General features: G+C 41.7%; 1 protein-coding gene and 1 long non-coding RNA gene across 2 annotated transcripts in view, besides 3 other annotated features; one reads left to right on the forward strand and one right to left on the reverse strand.

Annotated features, from left to right (window-relative positions):
- Positions 2543–2672: a silencer, noted in NCBI's record as "silent region_17759". NCBI's record gives its function as "represses an Ori minimal core promoter by ATAC-STARR-seq in GM12878 lymphoblastoid cells {active_cell/tissue: GM12878}" and the evidence as "EXISTENCE:reporter gene assay evidence [ECO:0000049][PMID:35858748]".
- LOC124901454 (uncharacterized) lies at positions 2579–22993 on the forward strand. The gene is made up of 2 exons (XR_007059844.1): positions 2579–3061; positions 21746–22993. It is a non-coding gene; the product is annotated as an uncharacterized LOC124901454 (long non-coding RNA).
- Positions 2713–2792: a silencer, noted in NCBI's record as "silent region_17760". NCBI's record gives its function as "represses an Ori minimal core promoter by ATAC-STARR-seq in GM12878 lymphoblastoid cells {active_cell/tissue: GM12878}" and the evidence as "EXISTENCE:reporter gene assay evidence [ECO:0000049][PMID:35858748]".
- Positions 2863–2972: a silencer, noted in NCBI's record as "silent region_17761". NCBI's record gives its function as "represses an Ori minimal core promoter by ATAC-STARR-seq in GM12878 lymphoblastoid cells {active_cell/tissue: GM12878}" and the evidence as "EXISTENCE:reporter gene assay evidence [ECO:0000049][PMID:35858748]".
- LPA (lipoprotein(a)) overlaps positions 13711–23104 on the reverse strand; it is a 132794-nt gene continuing 123400 nt past the window's right edge. The window contains exons 36-39 of the mRNA NM_005577.4: positions 22272–22412; positions 20084–20190; positions 14760–14878; positions 13711–14119 (exon numbers count right to left, since the gene is read on the reverse strand). Coding sequence (NP_005568.2) covers positions 13958–14119; positions 14760–14878; positions 20084–20190; positions 22272–22412 — 529 coding nt within the window. The 3' untranslated portion in view covers positions 13711–13957. The remainder of the gene's footprint in view (positions 14120–14759; positions 14879–20083; positions 20191–22271; positions 22413–23104) is intronic.

Here is a 23104-nt window from a genome sequence, read left to right on the forward strand (position 1 = left end):
GAAGCTGGAAACCATCATTCTCAGCCAACTAACGTAAGAACAGAAAACCAAACACTGCATATTTTCACTGATAAGCGTGAGTTGAACAATGAGAACACATGGACATGGGGAAGGGAACATCACACACTGGGGCCTGTCAGGGGTTGAGGGGTTAGGGGAGGGATAGTATTAGGAGAAATACCTAATGTAGATGACAAGTTGATGGGTGCAGCAAACCACCATGGCACATGGATATCTATGTAACAAACCTGCATGTTCTGCACATGTATCCCAGAACTTAAAGTATAATAATTTTTAAAAAAATTTTTTAAAAAGAAAGTCAAGTGTGTGCTTTGACCTTTTGACTTGGGGTTTTATATACTGGCATGCTTCCGGGGTCTTGTATCCCTTCTCCCCACTCACCCAACTCCTGAGAGCTTATCCAGAAGCTGTTTCAGGTGTTTTCTATCTATTGGGAGATGGCTTTTCACTGGTGCCAGCTGTGACCAATTATTACTTTACAAAGACAGTTAAAAACTGCCTGACCATCACCTAATGGTTGACAACACTCCAGGTGTGTGTTTGGGGCGGTGGTAGGGGAAGGCACTGTTCTGCCCTGCTCATACCTTACTAGCTACCTACTGTAACACTGAGTGAGAACACTCACTGTTTACCTTTCTGTTCCTGGCTTACTTAACAAACCTTCCTTTAGTTTCATCCATGTTGCTGCAAAAGATAGGATCTCATTTTTTTAATGGTTGAATAGTATTTTATGGTATGTATATATCACATTTTCTTTATCCATTCATGTGTAGTCAGACAACTAGATTGATTACATGTCTTTGTTATTATGAATAGTGCTGCAGTAAACCTGAGGATGCAGAGGTCTCTTTGATATTTAACGATTTCCATTGCTTTGGATAAATGCTTAGCAGTGAGATTGCTGGATTATATGGTACTTCTATCTGTATTTTTTTGAGGAACCTCCATACTGTTCTTCAGACCAATTGCACTAGTTTAAATTCCCACCAACTGTTTTTAAAATTCCCTTTTTTTCCTGCATCCTCACCAGCATTTTTTATTTTTTGTCTTTTTGATAATAGCCCTACTAACTGGGGTGAGACAATAGCTCGTTGTGGTTTAGATTTGCATTTTCCTGATTAGTGATGTTGAGCACATTTTCATACATTTGTTGGCCATTTGTATGTCTTCTTTCAAGAAATGTCTGTTCAGATCATTTGCCCTTTTTTTTTAATTGGGTTGGTTTTTTGCTGTTGAGATGTTCGAGATCCTTGTATATTCTAATACTAGCCCCCTGTCCGATGAATAGTTTACACATATATGAGGCACCACGAGATCCTTTACACAGGTTAGTTCACTTACTCCTCACTCCAACCCTATGAGGGAGGCGCTATTACTACCACTCTTATTTTACCCATAGAGAGTTCAGCAGAGGTTCATAACTTCCCCCAAAGTCACACAGCTAGTGTGGCAGATGGAGCAGGGTTGGATGCCAGAGCCAGGCCCTCCAGCCCCACGCCTCGTTGCTGCAGGAGCCCTCCAATCTGCAGTCACTGCCACAGGCATCAATGGCACTACCCAGAATAAGGATTTATTGAGCACCTACTGTATTCACAGAACTCTAATCAGTCTGAAAGTCCAAGCAATGAAGCAAACAAAGCCAAGGAATGGCAGAAATGGCAGAGTTCAAACCAGAGTCTAGGGCCTGAAGTGCACCGCATGGGCCAGGTTAAAGTGAATGAAACATTCCTATTTTGATCCTTTTCATTATTTATCATTCATACCCCTAACTACCTTTAATGCGATTAGTTTTAGATGTAAAAACAACAAATACGCTACAAATCAGCTCTTCCAACATTTTCTTCTCGTGAAAAAGGCTCTTTGAAAGCCCTGTTTTGCAGAAACTTGCTCCTTTTGCATGAATGGTAAATCATAGGAGACCTGGTAGATTACGCTACATACTTAATGTGAAAGGTTGCTTCATTCAAGAGCCTGGAGTTTTCAGACATTGTCCTGAAACTTCCCTGCCTAGGGTAGGGTAATGCCAGCGACGGCAGGAAATAGCTCTGACGCACTTAAGAGTTAAATACAACCTACAGAAGTTCTGGCTGGGTGGGGAAAACCTATTGCTAAAGAGAAGAGCTACTTTTTTTCTTTTCTGGAATTTGCAAACAGCATTTATTCTCAGCCTTACCTTCCACAAGCTCCACCTGGAACATTGCTGGGCAGCGTGGAAACAGAAGCAAACATCAGCCAGGCCGGCAGGGGGCAGCAGACCCCACATTTTGCCCTCGCCTCCCGTGGGAGGGAGTGCCCGGCTCCCAAAATCCTGTGGCGGGTTTTGTCCCAAGCGACTTCAGCCAGCAGATAGTTCGTGTCCTTCTGAGGCCGCAAAATTTGGGGTGGAAGAAGTGGGGCGTGAGGCTGAGAGTGAGGAGAGCAATCCAGGGTCGCCAGGGTGGGAGCCGCAGCGGGCCCTAGGCCTCCGGGAGGACACTGATGCTTCCGGACCGCGCGAGGCGCGCCGGCAATGCCGGCAATGGACGTGCGACAGCGGCACGAGGCGGGGCACCGGGAGGGGATGCGGGGGGAGGGGGGACTCGGGCATGGCGGGCTTCAGGTTCCGAGCCCTATCCCTGCGGGGAGGCGGCTGAGGCCCAGCGAGAATTCGAGCGCGGTGCGGGCGGGCCGGCAGTGCTGGGGGGACCCGGCGCACCCTCTGCAGCTGCTGGCCCGGGTGCTAAGCCCCTCACTGCCAGGAGCCTGCGGCGCCTGCTGGCTGCTTTGAGTGCGGGGCCCGCTGAGTCCGCGCACACCCGGAACTCGCGCTGGCCCGCGAGCGCCGCTCGCAGCACCGGCTCCCGCCCGCGCCTCTCGCTCCACACCTCCCCGCAAGCAGAGGGAGCCGGCTTCCGCCTCGGCCAGCCCAGAGAGGGGCCCGCCACAGCGCAGTGGTGGGCTGAAGGGCTCTTAGAGCATGGCCAGAGTGGACGCCAAGGCCGAGGAGGCGCCCAGAGTGAGCGAGGGCTGCTAGCACTTTGTCACCTCTCAATTTGACGTTGTAAGCTTCCTTCCACAGAGTGACCTTTTTCATGCAATCGATGTGCTCCTGTGTCAGCTATGCAAAATAATTTTTGTTTACTGAATCTGGTTTAAAAGGCAAGAAGTTGCTTCCCATTGGGCACTTTGATCCTGGTGAAACGGGATGTGTATGCCTGGAAACATGGACAGTCACATGCACTGCTTGGTTTTGTGTGGAACTAACATGAGATGATCTTTTCACTGATTTTCAGAATTGTGGAGAATTCACTTAGGAAAATAAGCATGTGTATCAATGCATGACCAATATGGGCGTTTACTTTAACTGATTTCACAGAAGCAGTGCTCCTAATATTTTGAGCCACACAGATTTTATCTGGTGCCTCTTTATGATATGATCAATTAGCTGCTTACTTCATAAGTTATGTGGAGTGGGGAAGATACTCCTATTTTCTCTTTAAATGTCTTTTCTCTGATTTAAAGAAGTAATAAAGGAGAAATCTTTTTGCTATATTTTACTTTTATCCTCCACTATTCTGAAGTTTAAGCTTCAATAATTAATATAAGTACAGTAAAATTAATATTTTAAAGGTAGCTGATATGCTTGATAACCAGAAAATATTTCATTTTTTAAAAATTCTATTTCATCTACTAATTTGATCCATATGATCCATATGCAAGGGTATGTAAAAGTCTATATATAGTCATATGACAAAGGTATATGGTGTATTGAATTTATACTTTTATTGTTCATCACTAAGACCCTTTTTTACTTTAAAAGTGGGTTATATAGACCTGTGAAACATGCAACAAAAATGAAAACACTGCACCTTTTTGTGGTTCTGTAAACACACAAGAAAAGTGGAGGTCAGGATCCATGCTGTTGGCCAGGTATTAAGTTGGCGTTATCAGCAATCACTGTAGTCTCTGTGAGTGCTGATGAATCTGAATGTCATGCCTTGGGAATTGCTTTTTTGACTAGATTACTGGTTTGAGGTTGTTGCCGTTGTGTTTTTTGTAAGAGTAGAAATTCACAAGTGCACAACGTTGGATTTAGGTAAGTGGAAATTTAATGCAATCACAGCAGTGCCTCATACAAAGAAAGTGATCAACAAATGTAGCCATGATAAGGGTCACTCGCTAGGCCAGTTGTCACCTACCCCTCTGCTGGATGACAGCCCTTCTGCATCTGCACTCAGCTCCCGCGTTTCCGGAGCTTCTCTTCTCAGACCATGCAGTGCCCAGAGCTTCAGATCTGTCCATATCCTTCATCAACACCTCCTGAAAGTATGAGACCTTGCAGAGGCCCATGTCTTCCAGGTGTTGCCAAGACAGCTGAGACAGAGCCCTGGAGTCCTTTCTTATCATCCCTTGATCAGGGTGTCTTATATCTGTTAATTCTACAAATAGCCATTTTTTTAAATGTCATTTATTTTAAACCAGTAGCTCAGCTGTCCTGTGCCAGCTCCACACCCTCAACTCTACAGCTGATTACACAGTTCATTATTATGCTAATTTAAGAAATGTTAAATATATGCAAACCTACAGAGGGAACAAACACTGTAGCAACTTACCAACTTTCCCACAACCTGCAGTTAACAATTGTGAACAGTTTGTCATTTTAACTTTTCCCCAGTCCCTGGAATTTCCTCATCTCTAACCCAGTCTCCCTCAACCACTCATGATGAAGTGTGTACCCATCCAATCTGTTTTGGAACATTTTAAAATTATTTTACTTGGTTTTTTTTAAATCAGCTTTATATATGCACATAGTTTAAAGAGTCAAAAAGTTCTGTCCAGGCATGGTGGCTCACACCTGTAATCATAGCAATTTGGAAGGCCGAGGCAGGAGGATCATGAGTCCAGGAGCTTGAGACCAGATTGGCCAACATGGTGAAACTTCATCTCTAATAAAAATAAAAAAAAATTAGCTGGATATAGCAGCCCATATCTGTAATCCTAGCTACTTGGGAGGCTGAGGCACGGGAATTGCTTGAACCCAAGAGGCAGAGGTTGCGGTGAGCCAAGACTGCACCACTGCACTCCAGCCTGGGTGACAGAAGGAGACTCTGTCTCAAAAAAAAAAAAAAAAAGAAAAAAAGTAAAAAGTTCTGTTTTTACAGAATTACTGCGTTTCCTTCTCTCCAGAGGCAAACACTTCCAATTCTTTATTTCATTTATTTTTGAGATGGAGTTTTGCTCTGTCACCCAGGCTGGAGTGCAGTGGCACGATCTCGGTTCACTGCAACCTTCACCTCCCTGGTTCAAGCGATTCTCCTGCCTCAGCCTCTTGAGTAGCTGGGACTACGGCGTCCACCACCAGGCCTGGCTAATTTTTGTATTTTTAGTAGAGACTGGGTTTCACCATGTTGGCCAGGCTGGTCTCAAACTCCTGACCTCAGGGCGATCCACCCACCTCCGCCTCCCAAAGTGCTGGGATTACAGGCCTGAGCCACCGCACCCGGCCACCTCCAATTCTTTCAACTGATCCTATTGGCATTTACCTTCAGCTCTCTAAATAACTTTCTGACTGTGGTACTTCTTTTTTCAGTTTTAGTCATTACCTATTGATATGGTTTCGATCTGTGTTCATGCCCAAATTTCAAGTCAAATTGTAATCCTTAGTGTGGAGGCGGGGTCTGATGGGAGGTGATTGGCTCATAGGGCAGTAACTCATGAATGGTTTAGCACCTTCTCCAGGTGCTGTTCTCCTGATAGTGAGTTCTCAGGAGATCTGGTTGTTTAAGTGTGTGTGGTACCTCCCCCACCCTTGCTCCTGCTCCTGCCATATGAGAAGTGTTTTCCATTTTTAAAATTATAGACATTTAAATTATAGACATTTTAATGGATATGAAGTCTTATTTCATTGTGATTTTATTGGCATACACAGCATACACATACCGTCCACATACCACACACATACACTTCACACACCGTACATACTACATACACCCACACATCCTTTTGCCATATGTACCTAAAATAATTATGTAATTATATTGTAATTTTGGTTAAGTAAATATTCAGTGTTTATGTAACTGAGGCCTGTAGTATCCTTTTATATTTCTCCCTAGAATTCATTATTTTCTTTTCTGTAAGCTTTTATGTCTGTTTCCTAATTCCACTCCAAATTCTCAGTTATATACCTTTTCAATATGCCCCCAAACCAATCAGGCCATCTAGCGTTTTTCTTCCAGAGAGCTCCTCGGGAACCACCGGCTCTGCTCTGGTGTGGCCTGGGTGCACAGCCGGCCTGCTGTGCAGTTGTGGGATCTCCATGGACTGTCATCCAGAAGACCCCCTTTCCTCTCTGATATTTGATCCCGTTTCATGGATCCCACATCTTCCTTTTTAAAAAAAGTTACTTCCTCATTTTGCCAAAGCAAATATTCTAGTATCATCCTTAGAAAGGATACATGGAAGGTATTTTTTAATTGAAGTGAAATTCTCATAAGAAAAGTAGCAGTCTTATAGTGAACAATGCGTTGTATTTAGTATGTTCACATTGGCAACCACCACCTCCATCCAGTTCCAAAACATTTTCATGACCCCAAAGCACAATGCAGTACCCAATAAGCTGGTACTTTCCATGACCCCATCCCAGCCCTTGCTTTCAAGTTTCAGCCATGTAGCGGATACCAGTACTTCATTCCTTTTTGTAGCTGTATAAACCACAATTTGTTTATCCCCTCATCTATTGATTGACATTTGGGTGTGGCTGTTGTAACAGTGCTGCTATGAACATTCTCATGCAAGGTATCTGTTTGGGCACTTGTTTTCAATTCTTGTATATATACACCTAAGAGTAAAATTGTTAGATCACATGGTAATTCTATGTTTAGCATTTTAAGGAACTGTCAAATTGTTTTCCACAGTGGCCAAACCATTTTCCCTGTACATTCCCACCAGCAATATACAGGATTCTAATTTCTCCACATCCTCACAAATGCTTGTTATTTTCCATTTTTTAAATTATAGACATTTTAATGGATATGAAGTCTTATTTCATTGTGATTTTATTGGCATTTTCTTAATGACTAATGATGTTGACCATCATTTCATGTACTTATTGCCTATTTGTATATCTTTTTTGGAAAAAATGTCTATTCACGTTCTTGTTTTTCTTTTTATTGTTGAGTTGTAAGAGTTCTTTTTTTTTTTTTTAACTCATTTCCCATTTGCCCCAAGAATACTATGCAGGCAGCAAGCTACATATTTTCTTTTTCTAAATAAGAAGTGGGTTAAGAGATGGCAGTCTCACTCTGTCACGCAGCCTGGAGGGCAGTGGCCCAATCATAGCTCACTGCAGTGTCGAACTCCCAGGCTCAAGTGATCCTCCCACCTTGGCCTCCCCAAGTGCTGGGATTACAGGTGTGAGCCACTGCTCCCAGCCTAGAGATCTTAATATATTCTGGACACCAGGCCTTTGTCAATAGGTTTGCTTCATCAGTAGGTTGCTTTTCACTTTCTTGATAATGTCATTTGACACATAATAGCTTTTAATTTTTTTCATTACTTTTCAATTATTTTTTCCAGTTTTATTGAGGTACACTTCACAAATAAAAATTATATATATTTAAGATGTACAATGTAATGCCTTAATATAGATGTACACTGTGAAATTATTATCATAAGCTAATTAAAATATTCACCACCTCACATAATACTTTTGTGTATATGGTGAGGACACTTAAGATCAACTCTTTTAGCAAATTTCAAGTATGCAATACAGTATTATTAACTCTAGTCACCATTCTGCACATTAGATCTCCAGAACCTATTTATCTTGCAAAGCTATACAGTTGTATCCTTTGATCAACATCTCTCCATTTCCCCCTTCCACGGCTCTGGCAATCACTAAGCTACTCTCTATTTCTAGGAATTTGACTTTCTTAGATTCCATATGTAAGCGAGATCACACAGTATTTGCCTTTCTGTGTCTGGCTTATTTCACTTATTATAATGTCCTCCAGGTTGATGCAAAGGCAGGATTTTCTTCTTCATTAAGGCTGAATAATATTCCTCTGTGTGTGTGTGTGTGTGTGTGTGTGTGTGTGTGTATAAAACATATATATATAGATACACATTTTTATCATCCATCCTTTCATTTATTTATTTGTGTAAGTTGAACTATTCTTGCATTCGTGAAACAAATCGCACTTGATCATGGTGAATGATCTTTTTAAAGTGCTACTGGATTCAGTTTTCTAGTATTTTGTTGCGGATTTTTGCACATATGTTTATCAGGGATATTGCCTGTAATGTTCTTTTATTAGCGTATTATTTTTCTGTGTTTAGTATCAGTGTAATGCTATCCTCATAAAATGAATGTGAAAGCATTCCTTCTTTTTAGTTTTTAAGAAGAGTTTGAGGAGGGTTGATATTAGTCTTTGTAATGTTTGGTATGCTTCAGCAGTGAAGCCATTAGGTCCTGGCCTTTTCATTGATGGGAGACTTGTTATTACTGATACAATCATGTACACATTATTGGTCTGTTCAGATTTTCTATTTCTTTCTGAGTCAGTCTTTGTAGGTTTTTTGCTCTAGGAATTCATCCATTTCTTCTAAGTTATCCAATTTGTTGGCATGTAATTATTCATAGTAGTCTCTTATGATCGTTTGTACTTCTGTAGTATCTATTGTAATGTCTCCTCTTTCTGGTTTTATTTGAGTATTCTCTGTTTTTCTTAATCTAGCTAAAAGTTGGTCAATTTTGTTATTTTATTGAAAACCAACTAGTAGTTTTATTTCTTTTTGGTATCAGTTTTTTAGTCTTTACTATTTCTGATGTGATCTTTATTATTTCTTTCCTTCTACTAACTTTTGGGTTAGTTAGTTCTTTGTCTAGTTTGTTGAGGTGTAATCTTAGGTTGCTTATTTGAGATCTTCTTTTTTAATGGAAGTGTTTATTGGTAAAAGCTTCCCTCTTAAAACCACTTTTGCTGCATACTATAAATTATTGGTATGTTAGTGTGTCCATTTTCCTTTGTCTTGAGTTGTTTTTGTTTTCAATTCAAAATCATATTTATTATGTTTTAAAGCAAGTGACTTATTTTAGTATAGGATAGATTAACTCATTCCAAATGATAGCTTTCTCCAATTAAAGCTACATTGTTAAAACTTGAAAAAATTATCCAGAATTTATCTTTCATGGTGATACTTAATTTCAGTAGGGCTTTTCACATTTTGTCTGATTGGCATATAAATCAAAAACAAATATTTCTTTTTTTATTATTATACTTTAAGTTCTGGGGTACATGTGCACAACGTGCAGGTTTGTTACATAGGTATACATGTGCCGTGTTGGTTTGCTGCACCCATCAACTCGTCATTTACATTAGATATTTCTCCTAATGCTATCCCTTCACCAGCTTCCCACCCCCTGACAAGCCCTGGTGTGTGATGTTCCCCGCCCTGTGGCCAAGTGTTCTCATTGTTCAATTCCTACCTATGAGTGAGAACATGCGGTGTTTGGATTTCTGTCCTTATGATAGTTTGCTGAGAATGATGGTTTCCAGCTTCATTCATGTCCCTGCAAAGGACATGAACTCATGTCTTGATTTTTTAAAATTTCCTCTTTTAATATCTTCTTCGACTCATTGATTGTTCAGGAGCATATTGATTAATTTCTATCTATTTGTGGATTTTCCAATATTCCCCCATTATTGATTTCTAGTTTCATACGATTATGATCTAAAAAAAAAACCTGATATGATTTCAATCTTCTTACATTTTTTGACTAGTTTTGTGACCTAACATATGATCTATTCTGGAGAATATTCCCTGTGCACTTGAGAATAATGTGTATTCTACTGCTGTTGGATGGAATGTTCTATATATTTCTGTTAGGTCTACTTGGCTAAAGTGTAGTTTAAGTCTCGTGTTTCCATATTGATTCTCTGTCTGGATGATCTGTCCATTAGTGAAAGTGGAGCTATTCAAGTGTGCTACTATGATTATATTACAGTGTAGCTCTCCTGTGAGATCTATTAATGTTTGTTTTAGTTACTATATGTAGGTACTACAATTTTGGGTATATATATTAATATATATTTATAATTGCTATATATTTGTAATGAACTGATCTCCTTATTATTACATTCTTCTTCGTCTCTTTTTACAGTTTTTGACTTAAAGTCTGCTTTACCTCATGTTGAGTTGAGTTTCCCTTATCCAAAATGCCTGAAACCAGAAATGTTTTGAATTTTGAATTGTTTTTGCAATGTTTGCATTATGATATGGTTTGGCTGTGTCCCACCCAAATCTCATCGTGAATTGTAACCCTCATGATCCCCATGTGTCAAGGGAGGAGCCCAGTGGGAGGGGATTGGATCATGGGGGCGGTTTTCCCTATGCTGTTCTTGTGAGAGTGAGTGAGTTCCCACAAGATCTGATGGTTTTATAAGTGTTTGACAGTTCCTCCTTCACACACTCACACTCCGTCCTGCCACCTTGTGAAGAAGGTGCCTGCTTCTCCTTCATCTTCCGCCATGATTATAAGTTTCCTGTGGCCTCCTTAGCCATGCTTCCTGTTAAGCCTGTGGAACTCTGAGTTAATTAAACATCTTTCCTTTATAATTACTCAGTCTCTTTGTAGTATTCTTTATAGCAGTGTGAGAATGGACTAATACAAATTATATATTTACTGTTTTTGCATCCCTAAACACAAAAATCCAAAATGCTCCGAAGAACATTTCCTTTGAACATCATGTTGGCACTTAAACATTTTTAATTTTGGAGTATTTCAGATTTCAGATGTTTGGATTAGTGATACTCAATCTGTATAACTACCCCTCTATCTTCTTGTTTCCATTTGCATAGAATATTTTTTCCATCCCTTTACTTTCAGTCTGTTTGAGTCCTTACAGGTGAAGTGAGTGTGTTATAGGCATCATATAGTTGGATCTTATTTTTTAATCTATTTGGCCACTGTATGTCTTTTTATTGGAAAATTTAATCCATTTCCATTCAAGATAATTATTTATAGGTAAGATCTGCTATCACCATTTTGTTAATTGCTTTCTGGTTGTTTTGTAGACCCTTCGTTCCTTTATTCCACTCTTCGTATCTTTATTTGTGATTAAGTGATTTTCTCTAGTGGTATGCTTTGATTCCTTTTTATCTTTTGTATATCTACTTTAGGTTTTTGCTTTGTGGTTACGATGGTGCTTACAAAAAAATCTTATAGTTATATCAGGCTATTATATAAGGTGTATAATAACAAAATCCTCCGAGCTAAAGCAGCATGTTCTAACCCAATGCAAAGAAGCTAAGAACCTTGAAAAAAGGTTACATGAATTGCTAAGTAGAATAACCAGTTTAGAGAAGAACATAAATGACCTGATCTGACTGAAAAACACAGCATAAGAACTTTGTGAAGCATATACAAGTATCAATAGCCAAATCGATCAAGCAAAAGAAAGGATATCAGAGATTGAAGATCAACTTAATGAAATAAAGCAAGAAGACAAGAATAGAGGATAAAGAATGAAAAGGAATAAACAAAGGCTCCAAGAAATATGGGACTATGTGAAAAGACCAAATCTACATTTGATTGATGTACCTGAAAGTGATGGGGAGAATAGAACCAAGTTGGAAAACACTCTTCAGGATATTATCAAGGAGAGCTTCCCCAACCTAGCAAGACAGACCAACATTCAAATTCAGGAAATACAGAGAACACCACAAAGATACTCCTCGAGAAGAGCCACCTCAAGACATAATCGTCAGATTCACCAAGGTTGAAATGAAGGAAAAATTTCTAAGGGCAGCCAGAGAGAAAGGTTGGGTTACCCGGAAAGGGAAGCCAATCAGACTAACAGTGGATCTCTCTGCAGAAACCCAACAAGCCCGAAGAGAGTGGGGGCCAATATTCAACATTCTAAAAGAAAATAATTTTCAACCCAGAATTTCATACCCAGCGAAACTAAGCTTCATAAGCAAAGGAGAAATAAAATCCTTTACAGACAAGCAAATGCTGAAAGATTTTGTCACCACAAGGCCTGCCTCACAAGAGCTCCTGAACGAAGCACTAAACATGGAAAGGAACAATTGGTACCAGCCACTGCAAAAACTACCAAATTGTAAAGGCCATCCACACTATGAAGAAACTGCATCAACTAATGGGCAAAATAACCCGCTAGCATCATAATGACAGGATCAAATTCACACATAACAATATTAACCTTAAATGTAAATGGACTAAATGCCCCCAATTAAAAGACACAGACTGGCAAATTGAATAAAGAGTCAAGACCCATTGGTGTGCTGTATTCAGGAAACCTATCTCATGTGCAGACATACATAGGCTCAAAATAAAGGGATGGAAGAATATTTACCAAGCAAAAGGAAAGCAAAAAGAAAAAAAAAAGCAGGGATTGCAATTCTAGTCTCTGATAAAATATACTTTAAGCCAACAAAGATCAAAAGAGACAAAGAAGGGCATTACTTATACAAAAATTAACTCAAGATGGATTAAAGACTTAAATGCAAAACCTAAAACCATAAAAACCCTGGAAGAAAACTTAGGCAATACCATTCAGGACATAGCATGGGAGAAGACTTCATGACTAAAACACTAAAAGCAATGGTAACAAAAGCCAAAATAGACAAATGAGATCTAATTAAACCAAAGAGCTTCTGCACAGCAAAAGAAACTATCATCGGAGTGAACAGGCAACCTACATAATAGGATAAAATTTTTGCCATCTATCCATCTGACAAAAGGCTAATATCCAGAATCTACAAAGAACTTAAACAAATTTACCAGAAAAAAACAACACCATCAAAAAGTGGGCAAAGGATATGAACAGATGCTTCTCCAAAAAAGGCATTTATGCAGCCAACAAACATATGAGAAAAGCTCATCATCACTGATCATTAGAGAAATGCAAATCAAAACCACAATGAGATACCATCTCATGCCAGTTAGAATGGCGATCATTAAAAAGTCAGGAAACAACAGATGCTGGAGAGGATGTGGAGAAATAGGAATGCCTTGATATTGTTGGTGGGAGCATAAATTAGTTCAACCATTGTGGAAGACAGTGTGGTGATTCCTCAAAGATCTAGCACCAGAAACACCATTTGACCCTGCAATCCCATTACTGGGTATATACCCAGAGGATTATAAATCATTCTGCTATGAAAACACATGCACACGTATGTTTATTGTGGCACTATTCACAATAGCAAAGAGTTGGAACCAACCCAATTGCCCATCAATGTTAGATTGGATAAAATGTGGCACATATACACCATGGAATTCTATGCAGCCATAAAAAAGGATGAGTTCATGTCCTTTGCAGGGACATGGATGAAGCTGGAAACTATCATTCTCAGCAAACTAACACAAGAACAGAAAAACAAACACGGCATGTTCTCACTCATAAGTGTGAGTTGAACAATGAGAACACATGGACACAGGGAGGGCAACATCACACACCTGGGCCTGTCAAGGGGTGGAGGGCTAGGGGAGGGATAGAACTAAAAGAAATACCGAATTAGATGACAGGTTGATGGGTGCAGCAAACTACCATGGCACGTGTACATCTATGTAACAAACCTGCACATTCTGCACATGTACCCCAGGACGTAAAGTCTAAAAAATAAAAATAAAAATAGATGGGATGAAAAGAGCATGAAAATTTTGAAGACCAAAACCAAAATTAATTCAAATCAAAATAAGTGCAGAGTTTATTTTTAACAAATGTCATAGCTATGACACCTTAATACAGAATTTGTCAGTCAGACCTTAAAAGCTTATACACAAAAATACCAAAAATGCCAAGGTTTGGCATAGCTGGTAGCTGGGAACAGTGTCTTCGTTTGATTGCTGTCTATTATTTCCAGCATGCTAAATCCTTACCCACGTTTCAGCTTCTAAGTAGGTTGATGCTTCACTCTGTCTCCCGTCCAATTAATTATTTCTCATCATTCCCTCAATCCAAGTAACAAACCTTGAAACACGAGCATAGACACCAGGCTTATTGGGGCGTGCACAGCCAAGACCCCAAGAAGTGACTCCTTGTAAAATGTATTTGTCCTTCTCGAAGCAAACCAGAGGCCCTCCACTGTCACCCTAAACAGAGGTAGGGGAAAATTCATGTGAGCTTTAAGCTGCCAACCTTTTAATATGGGATGCCATCCTTCTCTTATCCATATGTACATTTTCCCAGTAATTCAAATCAGAAAGGAACTTATGAGCATATTACTCAAGCATCTGCAGTGCTTAAGTACTTAGCAAAGTCTATTCAACAAAACCACATCACTTAGTTTTTTCCTGGGAAAAAAAATAATCCCTTGTGAATCCTGCATGCATTGCTTCCTAACTTGGTGTTTCCTTTAGACTGGGCTAGCCTGGACATCATTGTTAAGTGTGTGTAATTTGTCTCGGTCCTGTACCCTCTACCTTCCTCTCTACTGGAAAAGCCACCACTTCAGTCACTGGTGACCAGCACACACCAGGAAGGTGAGTGGCCTGAGGTAGTTATGGCACTTACGGCTCCCTTGCTATGGATCTGGAACTCAAGCCCCAAGACGTCTCCTTAGATGATCTGAATATGCATTCAGGGACAGATCTGGGGAGTTTCTGAGCAACACTTAGACTGGGGTCTTCCACTGACAAAACCTTCCTGAATTTGCCACTTTGGGACTGACGTCTAAGGGACTGAGACTGAGACGGGAGAGCACAAGACTTTGATCTATTGATCTTTTCTTACCTGGCAACTGTCAGTGCCTCTGGCCAAATGCTCAGCACAAATATACTTATAGTGATTGCACACTTCATTCTCAATAACAAGGAGCTGGGCTTCCTTGAGAAGGCCAGTCCCAAAGGTACCTGTGTTTAAAAAGATGAAAGAAATGGTTACTGAGGCCAAAGCTTGTTCACGAGGAAATTCCAGAAGAACAGAGCAGTGGAGCTGGACCTCCTGTCTGTCCGTGAGGCTGCAGAACACAAGGCAGCTCCCAATGCCACTGGACTCTCTGACCCATTAAAGTGCAAATGTCATATAAGATTTTATGTTCCCAAGACCTGGATTCAACAATCTGGGCTTTGTCATGCTGCTTTGGGGTTGGTTGTTGTTTGTGTACTTTTTGCTTTTCTTTTGAAGCTATCAAAATGATTTTTACAATGTAAAGAGAGTCTGAGAAATACAATTGCTATTCTTTTTATATACTTTTTTCAGATTTTTATATGCTTCTTTTACTATTACATCATAATGCACAATTTCCTATACTGATTTTTTCAATCAATGTTATATCATGAGTTTTTAAAAAAATGCTACAGTCTTCATAACTAATATTTTAATGAGGAGTGACTGCTTAATGGGCATGAGGTTTCCTTTGGGGATGAGAAAAATGTCCTGGAAATATGGTGACGGTTGCACACCATTGTGAATGTACTGAATGCCACTCAGTGGTACCTGCAAAAATGGTTAAAATAGTAACTCTATGTTGTATAAATTTTATTGCAATAAAAAAGAATAGTCATCATTTACTAAGAATCAACCTTTCCAGGCACAAGCTCATAATGTGGTATATCTCACTTAATCCTCACAACGGTCCTATGAAACAGGCACTTGTCATTCCTGTTCTTCAGTTGAGGAAACTGAGGCGTAAGGAGGTTGTATAGCTCAGCTTGAGTCTGGGTCTGCGGAGTCGCTGCCCAAATGCTTCCTCCCCATGCGTGTTGGCCCCACTCTTGCTTCCAACCTTCCACATGTTTGTTCATAAATTTCATTCTTATTCCTTATTACTTTCTGAAGTCTCAGTTCCCATAATTATATAGACATATTTCTATCTCACAGTAACATTGCCAAATTATTCTCTAAAAGGGTGTGACAGTGGAAAATGTCACTGGAAAACAATTACTTTGCCTCACCCTTGTGATATTCAATTTTTAAAATATTAGCTAACATAGTAGGTGGAAATTGTCCTGATTCATTTTCTAATTTACACTTCCTTGACAATTAGGGAGAAGAAATACTAGGGACAATTCTCCTCGTTGTAGTTCTTCTTTTGTGAAAAACTGCTTAATTTCCTTCGCCAAATTGAAACAGAACCTCTGCTAAAGTGCCAGAGGAAATGCTGTTTTTCCAGATGGACATGCCCAGGGATTTCTCAGTGCTCTCACAAATAATCCAAGTTTCCAATGTTGCAAGCCCAGCTCTCATTAGAATTTTGCAAAACTTTGCAAGCATGGCACAGGCTAGAACTGAGGCACTCTCTCCTGCTTTCCCCAAAGCCCTTGACTGCACTTAGATCATTGTCTTCGGTGTCAGAAAACTGACACCGAATCTGGAGTTTACATGAGCAGCGTGGAAGAGTCTCTTCCGCAGAGCTGCATGGAGGAAGCTCCTCCTGACTACCGAGCATTGGGCATGGGATGCATCACCTGGACTGCACAGATGTGTAAAGGGGCACCCTTCTCAAAATATTTTGCTGAAAGTTAAGTTAGGTGTCACTGCTCTCAGATTTGCTCTCTGAGCAAGGCAAACATCCTGATAAGAGGGAAAACCCACCAGGAGTTGCTGGGAAATTAATGCAGTCTATGAGTATGTGCTGCCATCTCGTGGCCAATGTAGAGATGGCACCTCTGAGGGCAGGGTGGGCCACAGGTAACCTGAGGATTGAAGCCCTCTCTGATGGCGCCCTGGAGACAGGGCCACGGGATCAGCCCAGTGATTGCAGATGAGACTTACATGGATGAGCCCCTTGGCCTCAACACCACTCTGCACTTGGTACATCCAAATCCGGGAAGGTCTGGACACATGAAGGGGAGAGGGGGAGAATTTTGACCTCCTTCTGAGAAGCTGAGAACACCCATTGATCTGATGTCATTATTAACATGTAGAAAGTTGATAAGCAGGCCTGAGTTATGTATGTGGCTCCTCCTGGTCTAGTTGGTGTTCTGAAAATCCTTTTCTCAGTGGACATGTGGGTGAGACCAGAGGAGACTGGGAGCCCAGTGCAGGATGGTGGTTAGAAATGTGTGGATGGGGGTGGGAGAGAGGAAACAGTGAGTGGGCTCTGGGGTCAACACCCAGCTACACCCTGGTTATGTGATGTTTATTTATGATGATGGTGGTGATGATTAAACCAATGGTGATAGTGATGGTGTTAATGATGGTGATGGTGATGGTGGTGCTGGTGATGATGGTGGTGCTGGTGATGATGATGGTGGTGATAATGGTGATGGTAATGATAATGGTGATGGTGGTGGAGTAGTGGTGATGGTGGTGGGTAGTAATGATGGTTACAGTGATCATTGTGATGATGGTGATAGTGATCATGGTGGTGGTGATGATGGTTACAGTGATGGTGGTATTGGAGATGGTGTTGATGGTGATTATGATGGTGACGATGGTGGTGATAGTGATGGTGGTAGTAATGATAATACAGATGAGGAAATATAGAGGATAGTGATGATGGTGGCAGTGATAATGGCAGTGGTGATGATGGTGGTGATGGTGATAGTGATGATGGTGGTGGTAATGTTAATGGTGATGGCAGTAGAATTGTGGTGATGGTGATGTTGGTAGTAGCGGTGGTAATGATGATGGTGGTGGTGATGGTGATGTCATGCTGATAGTAGTGGGACAGTGGTGATGGTGATGGTGGTAGTAGTGGTAGTGGTAGTAATGATGATGATGGTGGTGGTGATGGTGATGGTGATGATGTTGAGAGTGATGATATTGGTGATGGTGGTGGAATGGTGGTGATGGTGATGGTGGTAGTAGTGGTAGTGGTAGTAATGATGATGGTGGTGGTGATGGTGATGGTGGTAATGATGTTGACAGTGATGATATTGGTGATGGTGGTGGAATGGTGGTGATGGTGATGGTAGTGCCAGTAAGAATGATGATAGTGGTGGCGATGATGTTGATGGGGATGATGGTGGTAGTGGTGGACGGTGATGATGATGATTATGTGTAATCTTAATCCTCACAATTATCTCATATGTAAGATGAGAAAGCGGAGGCTAAAAGAGATTAAATAACTGCCCAATGTCACATGGAAGATGGGAGAGCCAGAACTCACACCCAGATCCTTATGATTTTAGCTTCATGCTTTCATCAGTTGAGGTATCATAGAGGCTCTGTTTGCTTTCTGGCTGCCCAGCAGCTTTTTGCCCTACCTCCCATAATCCTCTTGAAGGATCTATCTAACTTTTGCCCCTTATGGGTATTAGTGGGGTCTTGCCTTCACCTCCAACATGGAACAATTGGTGCAGGTCAGAGCCAGTCAGTGATGGGTTCAGGGGCAGGACTGTGACCCAAGTTTGACTTCTCAGAGTGGGCAGACTATTGTTCACATAATTGGGAGAGTGGCCTTTCTTATTCTTTCCCGGTACAGCCACAGCACCACAGCATCTGCAGCCATGGGAATGTCACCTTTGTGCCCCCAAATAGTGCCTACTCCATGATTGGGAGGACCTGGGATTTGGGGCCATCATGTGAGCCTGAAAACTTTGCAGCTCACTAAGAATTTCCCTTGTTTTGCTTAATCCAATTTGAGTTGGATTTTCTGTCACTTGCAAGAAAGAATCATGTTAGATATAATTCTATTCTTTATTAGTAGTAGGAGCTGCCATGATGGAGTGCTTAGGATGTGCTCAGCACTTGATGCACTTTCTTATTATTTCCCCCATAACAGCCCTGCAGCCCACATCAGCTGAGGAAACAATCAGCGAGAGCTCACGACTTTTCTAAGTCCTGACAGCCCATAGGCAGGAGCCAGGGTTCCAATTCAGGTTTGTCTGTACCACCCTCCACCTTCTCTGAGCCCCAGCTTCCTCAATGGTAAAATAGGAACAATAATACCTAACTCACAGTGGTTTGTAGCATTTAAATTTTAAAATATGCAAACACCAGGAGCAGCCTCCCACACCCATAGGTGCCCCTCATTTGCCAAGTTTCCTTTTACCTGGCCTCAGTGCTCCCAGACTCAGCAGTGCAGAAAAAGGGAACAAGGAGTCAAGGAGGTGAGGTTTTAAAAATAATAGGAAAATGACAGAAAAAGGGAAGCCTACTTTGAAATTATCTAAACCTGTGGTTTTTAATCTTTTTAAAAACACAAAAAACATTTTATCAAATCAAAGCTTATGCAAAAGGCTGATGTGCAAAGCACCATTTGAAAATGCTGGTTTTACAGATAAGGGATTAGAGCCAAGTGGTACAAAGAGGTAACGTGTCTAGTTCAGGTCTATCTGGCAAGTGGCAGAGTCAGAACAGTTTTCCAGGGCCCCAGACTCCCAGTGCCCTTGCCTGCACCTCTGAGAAAGTAGAGCTGAGACTTTAAGACAGTTTCAGTTTTCCTACTGCCAAGGGGGTAAGGCTGACGGATATAATTATTGTCAGGGCATACCGCAAAGAGAAGAAGGAATCCATAAAATGTAGTACAGGTGCTGATACCACATCATGCACAAAAATATTCCCTCTCTTGCTCTCACCCATCAACCAATACCAAATGCCATCCTAGACTTGGGGCCATGGGAACTGTCTGCCTCTCCCCCAGCTTCAGGTCCCCTGCCTAACACCCTCACACACACATTAGACATGTGGGTATTTGGGAAGAAGAATAGTTTAATTACAACTTTTGTCGTTACTGTTTTGCACCATGTTTAGAAACGCAGTCTGTCTAATTTCACATGAAAAATAATCTAACACCCTTAACTTGAGGGCTGGGTCAAAACCCCACTTACCTGGGGAAGCAATATGAATGCTGAAATTATGATTAAGAGACTCAAAGACCTCTACTGGTGTTTGTTTTTGTTGTAAGGGAAACATACAATCATTACAAAAAAAATTAAAAGATTCTGAAAACAAAAAAGAGAGAGACTCAAGGAAATGGCACCGCTCCCCTTGCCCAAGTCCCTTGAAGACTGATTATGGAGACATAGACAGGTGTCCAGGCAAAGTCAGGAGTGGGTAGACCACATTCATGGGTAGGAATTTGTACAACTATCTCCAAAATGCTCATTTTGTAACATGCACTGAAGGTCAAAAACAATTTGTTACGTGGGCAATGGAATTGATCTCACCTTGGGTTTCTCCCCAGCCAGTGATGTAACATTCAGTCCTGGCGGTGACCATGTAGTCTGGGGATGGCAGACAAGCTGGCATTACTTTGTCAGTGATGACGGCAGGCCTGTAAGGAAAGTATTAGCAGTTATGTTTCACTGCCCAGCTGGAAGTGGCAGTACCTACAACCAGGCATCCCTGCCTTGAAGCCCCAGAGCCCTCTGAGCTGGCACTGCCTTGCTTCACTGACACAGAACAATGTAGAACACAGCGTTTCACCCTCACATTTGCCTGTGGTTGCCTATGGACTACACAGATGTAAGGTTTCATTTGAAAGGCATCAGTTGCATGCAAGAAACTGAGGGTGGCCTTAGCCTTTGAAAGTAGGGATGACAAAGGCACACTTCTCATGTATATTCTGTGCACGATTGGAATCTCATGCCAAGTGTGTCCTTTCATATTAATTGAAGAGGGCATTGATGACTGGGCAGAATGTCTGGCTGAGACATCATCAAGAGGGTATAAAATTGCAAATGCCTTGTGTGCCCAGAGCAAGTTGCTCCATCTGGATCCTCCACTTCCTCCTCGTGAATGTTACTAAACCGTGGTGGTAAGAATGCAGTAAAATGCTAGACATCAAATGAAAGAGGATGGGAAATAAGCACCTTGCATGAACTAAATGGTATTGTTTTCCAAGGACATTCATATACCTTAGAATCCCAGGGACTCTTAAAGATTAGAACTCTGGTTTTTAGACCTGATTCTACTTTAGTAAGTTCAAGGGGATAAAGGAATGGAAATGAGAAATGCCGTATTCTGACCAAAAATCATCATTAGCACCAACTTTGAAGCAGACACACTTTCTGCTTCTGGACACTAGAAGGCCCAGCCTGTGATGCAGATGTCCTCACTCTACAGGTTCCCTCATGGAGCACTAAATGCCCTAGACTCTAGGGGTGTGGGGATGTGCGGTGGGAACTCTAAACTCAAAACGTATCAGCCTATCAGAGAATGCCTCCAAAACCCCACATTTCCTAAGTGACTTGTTCAAGCCATCAGAACACCCCAGCTCTCTGAGGACCATGAGGAGCAGAGATCTTGTATTTGCACATTTGCTGGGATGGTGGGGAGGACCCTGGGGAGCAAGAGGGAGATCAGCTACTGTTTATAAAGGCTGAGCCAGAAAGGCCCTTCTCTCCTTCCTAGAGTGTCAGAGGATTCCAGGACATCACCCCTCAGTTCACAGACCCAGAGAAGCTGCCATGGGCTTGTGACCAGGCCCAGGAGAGCAGCTCAGGCTCCTGCCTGCCCCATGCCTTCCCAACCAGGCCATGCTCATCCCTGTCTGCATTGACACCCTGCCTTCCAGAGCCACCAGCACAGCGAGCACCCCACATGCCTTGTCACCTGTCCCAAACCTGCCTCTCCTACAAATACTGTTTCTTAGCTGATTGTACTGTCACCTAGGTCCAAATAGACTAACTTTAAGTGATGTAAGCAAAGGTATCACTTTGTCAGGCTTAATAAAACAAAATTTCACCAGGAAAGAGAAAATCAAAGAAGACAACAATAATATTATTATTTGCATTTGTAAATTGTATGTTGTGTGGGTTTTTTTTTTTTTTGACATTGTGGAATATTTCTGTTCATTTGTTTTGTTTTCTTTTCTTTTGTTGAGACAGGGTCTTGATCTGTCACCCAGCCTGGAGTGCAGTGGCACAATCATAGCTGCCTACAGCCTTGAAGTCCTGGGCTCAAGCAATTCTTCCTCGTCAGCCTCCTGAATAGCAGTGATTAGAGGCGCCCACACTAAGCATGGCTCGATATGGTGGTTTTTCAAGCGCTTTGAAATGCAATCTCATTTGATTCTCTCCAGCATATTATTATGAAAGGAGAATAGTTAGCCTGGAATAACAACCTTTCCCTGATCATGAATGTGGATGAACTGGTGAACATTAAGTAAGTTTTACGGGTAACAGGGTATCTCTTTTTCCACGTGAGGAAACGAATCCTTCTGCCTTTTTAAAGAGCACAACTAACATGTGGCAGGGCTGGGGTTGAAGATTGATGCTGTCCCCAAAGCCCTTGAGCCTTTCATGTGATAGACAGTTCCTCCCCACTGCCATGCAGTGGCCATGGCCCATAAAACCCAGACATAAAGCAAATATCTTCACCAGCGTGGGGTGAAGACCACAGGTGAGCGAGTACCTGCTTAGCTTTAGCAAGGCAATATCTGCTTGTGTGGGCTCCAAGAACAGCCTAGACACTTCTATTTCCTGAACATGAGATTCGAGGTTCACTTCTTGGTGTGCACCCAGGATGACCTTGTAGGATGAAGGCCTTGAGGACCTAGAAAAGATGAGGATGTCAAGAGAAAAATATGGTCCAGCCCCTTCAGGTATCCTCTGTGCCATGAACTTGGCGCTGTCCCTCTGACACCCTCGGCCACCCAGAATCAGTGACTTATGAGTGGCAAGAAACAAAATTCACAATTTGCTGGAAACTGACAGTTAAGGTCTGTTCTCAATCTGTTTCATCAGAGACTGTGATATAGTTTGTATATTTGTCCCCACCTAAATCTCGTGTTCAACTGTAGTCCCCAGTGATGGAGCTATGGCCTGTGAAAGGGGTTTGGATCATAGAGGTGCATCCCTCTTGAATGGCTTGGGCCACATCTTCATGGTGATCAGTGAGCTCTCACTCTTAGTTCTTGCAAAGTCTGGTCATTTGGTATTGTGCAGCACCCCCACCCCATCTCTCTCTGTCTCTTGCTCCTGCTCTGGCCATGTGACATGCCTGCTCCCACTTTGCCCTCCACCATGATTGTAATCTTCCTTAGGCCCACACAGAAGCAGAGGAGATGACAGCATCCTGCTTCCTGTAAAGCCTGCAGAAACATGTGCCAATTAAACTCTTTTCTTTATAAATTATTCAGCCTCAGATATTGCTCTAGAGCAATGCAATACAGATTGATGCCTCTGGTAGTGAACAGCTCTGTCCTGCGGTTTATACAGGTCCAAAAAATCACTTGCACTGGGTCT

This window comes from Homo sapiens, chromosome 6 (assembly GCF_000001405.40).
Source record: "Homo sapiens chromosome 6, GRCh38.p14 Primary Assembly".
Lineage (NCBI taxonomy): Eukaryota > Metazoa > Chordata > Mammalia > Primates > Hominidae > Homo > Homo sapiens.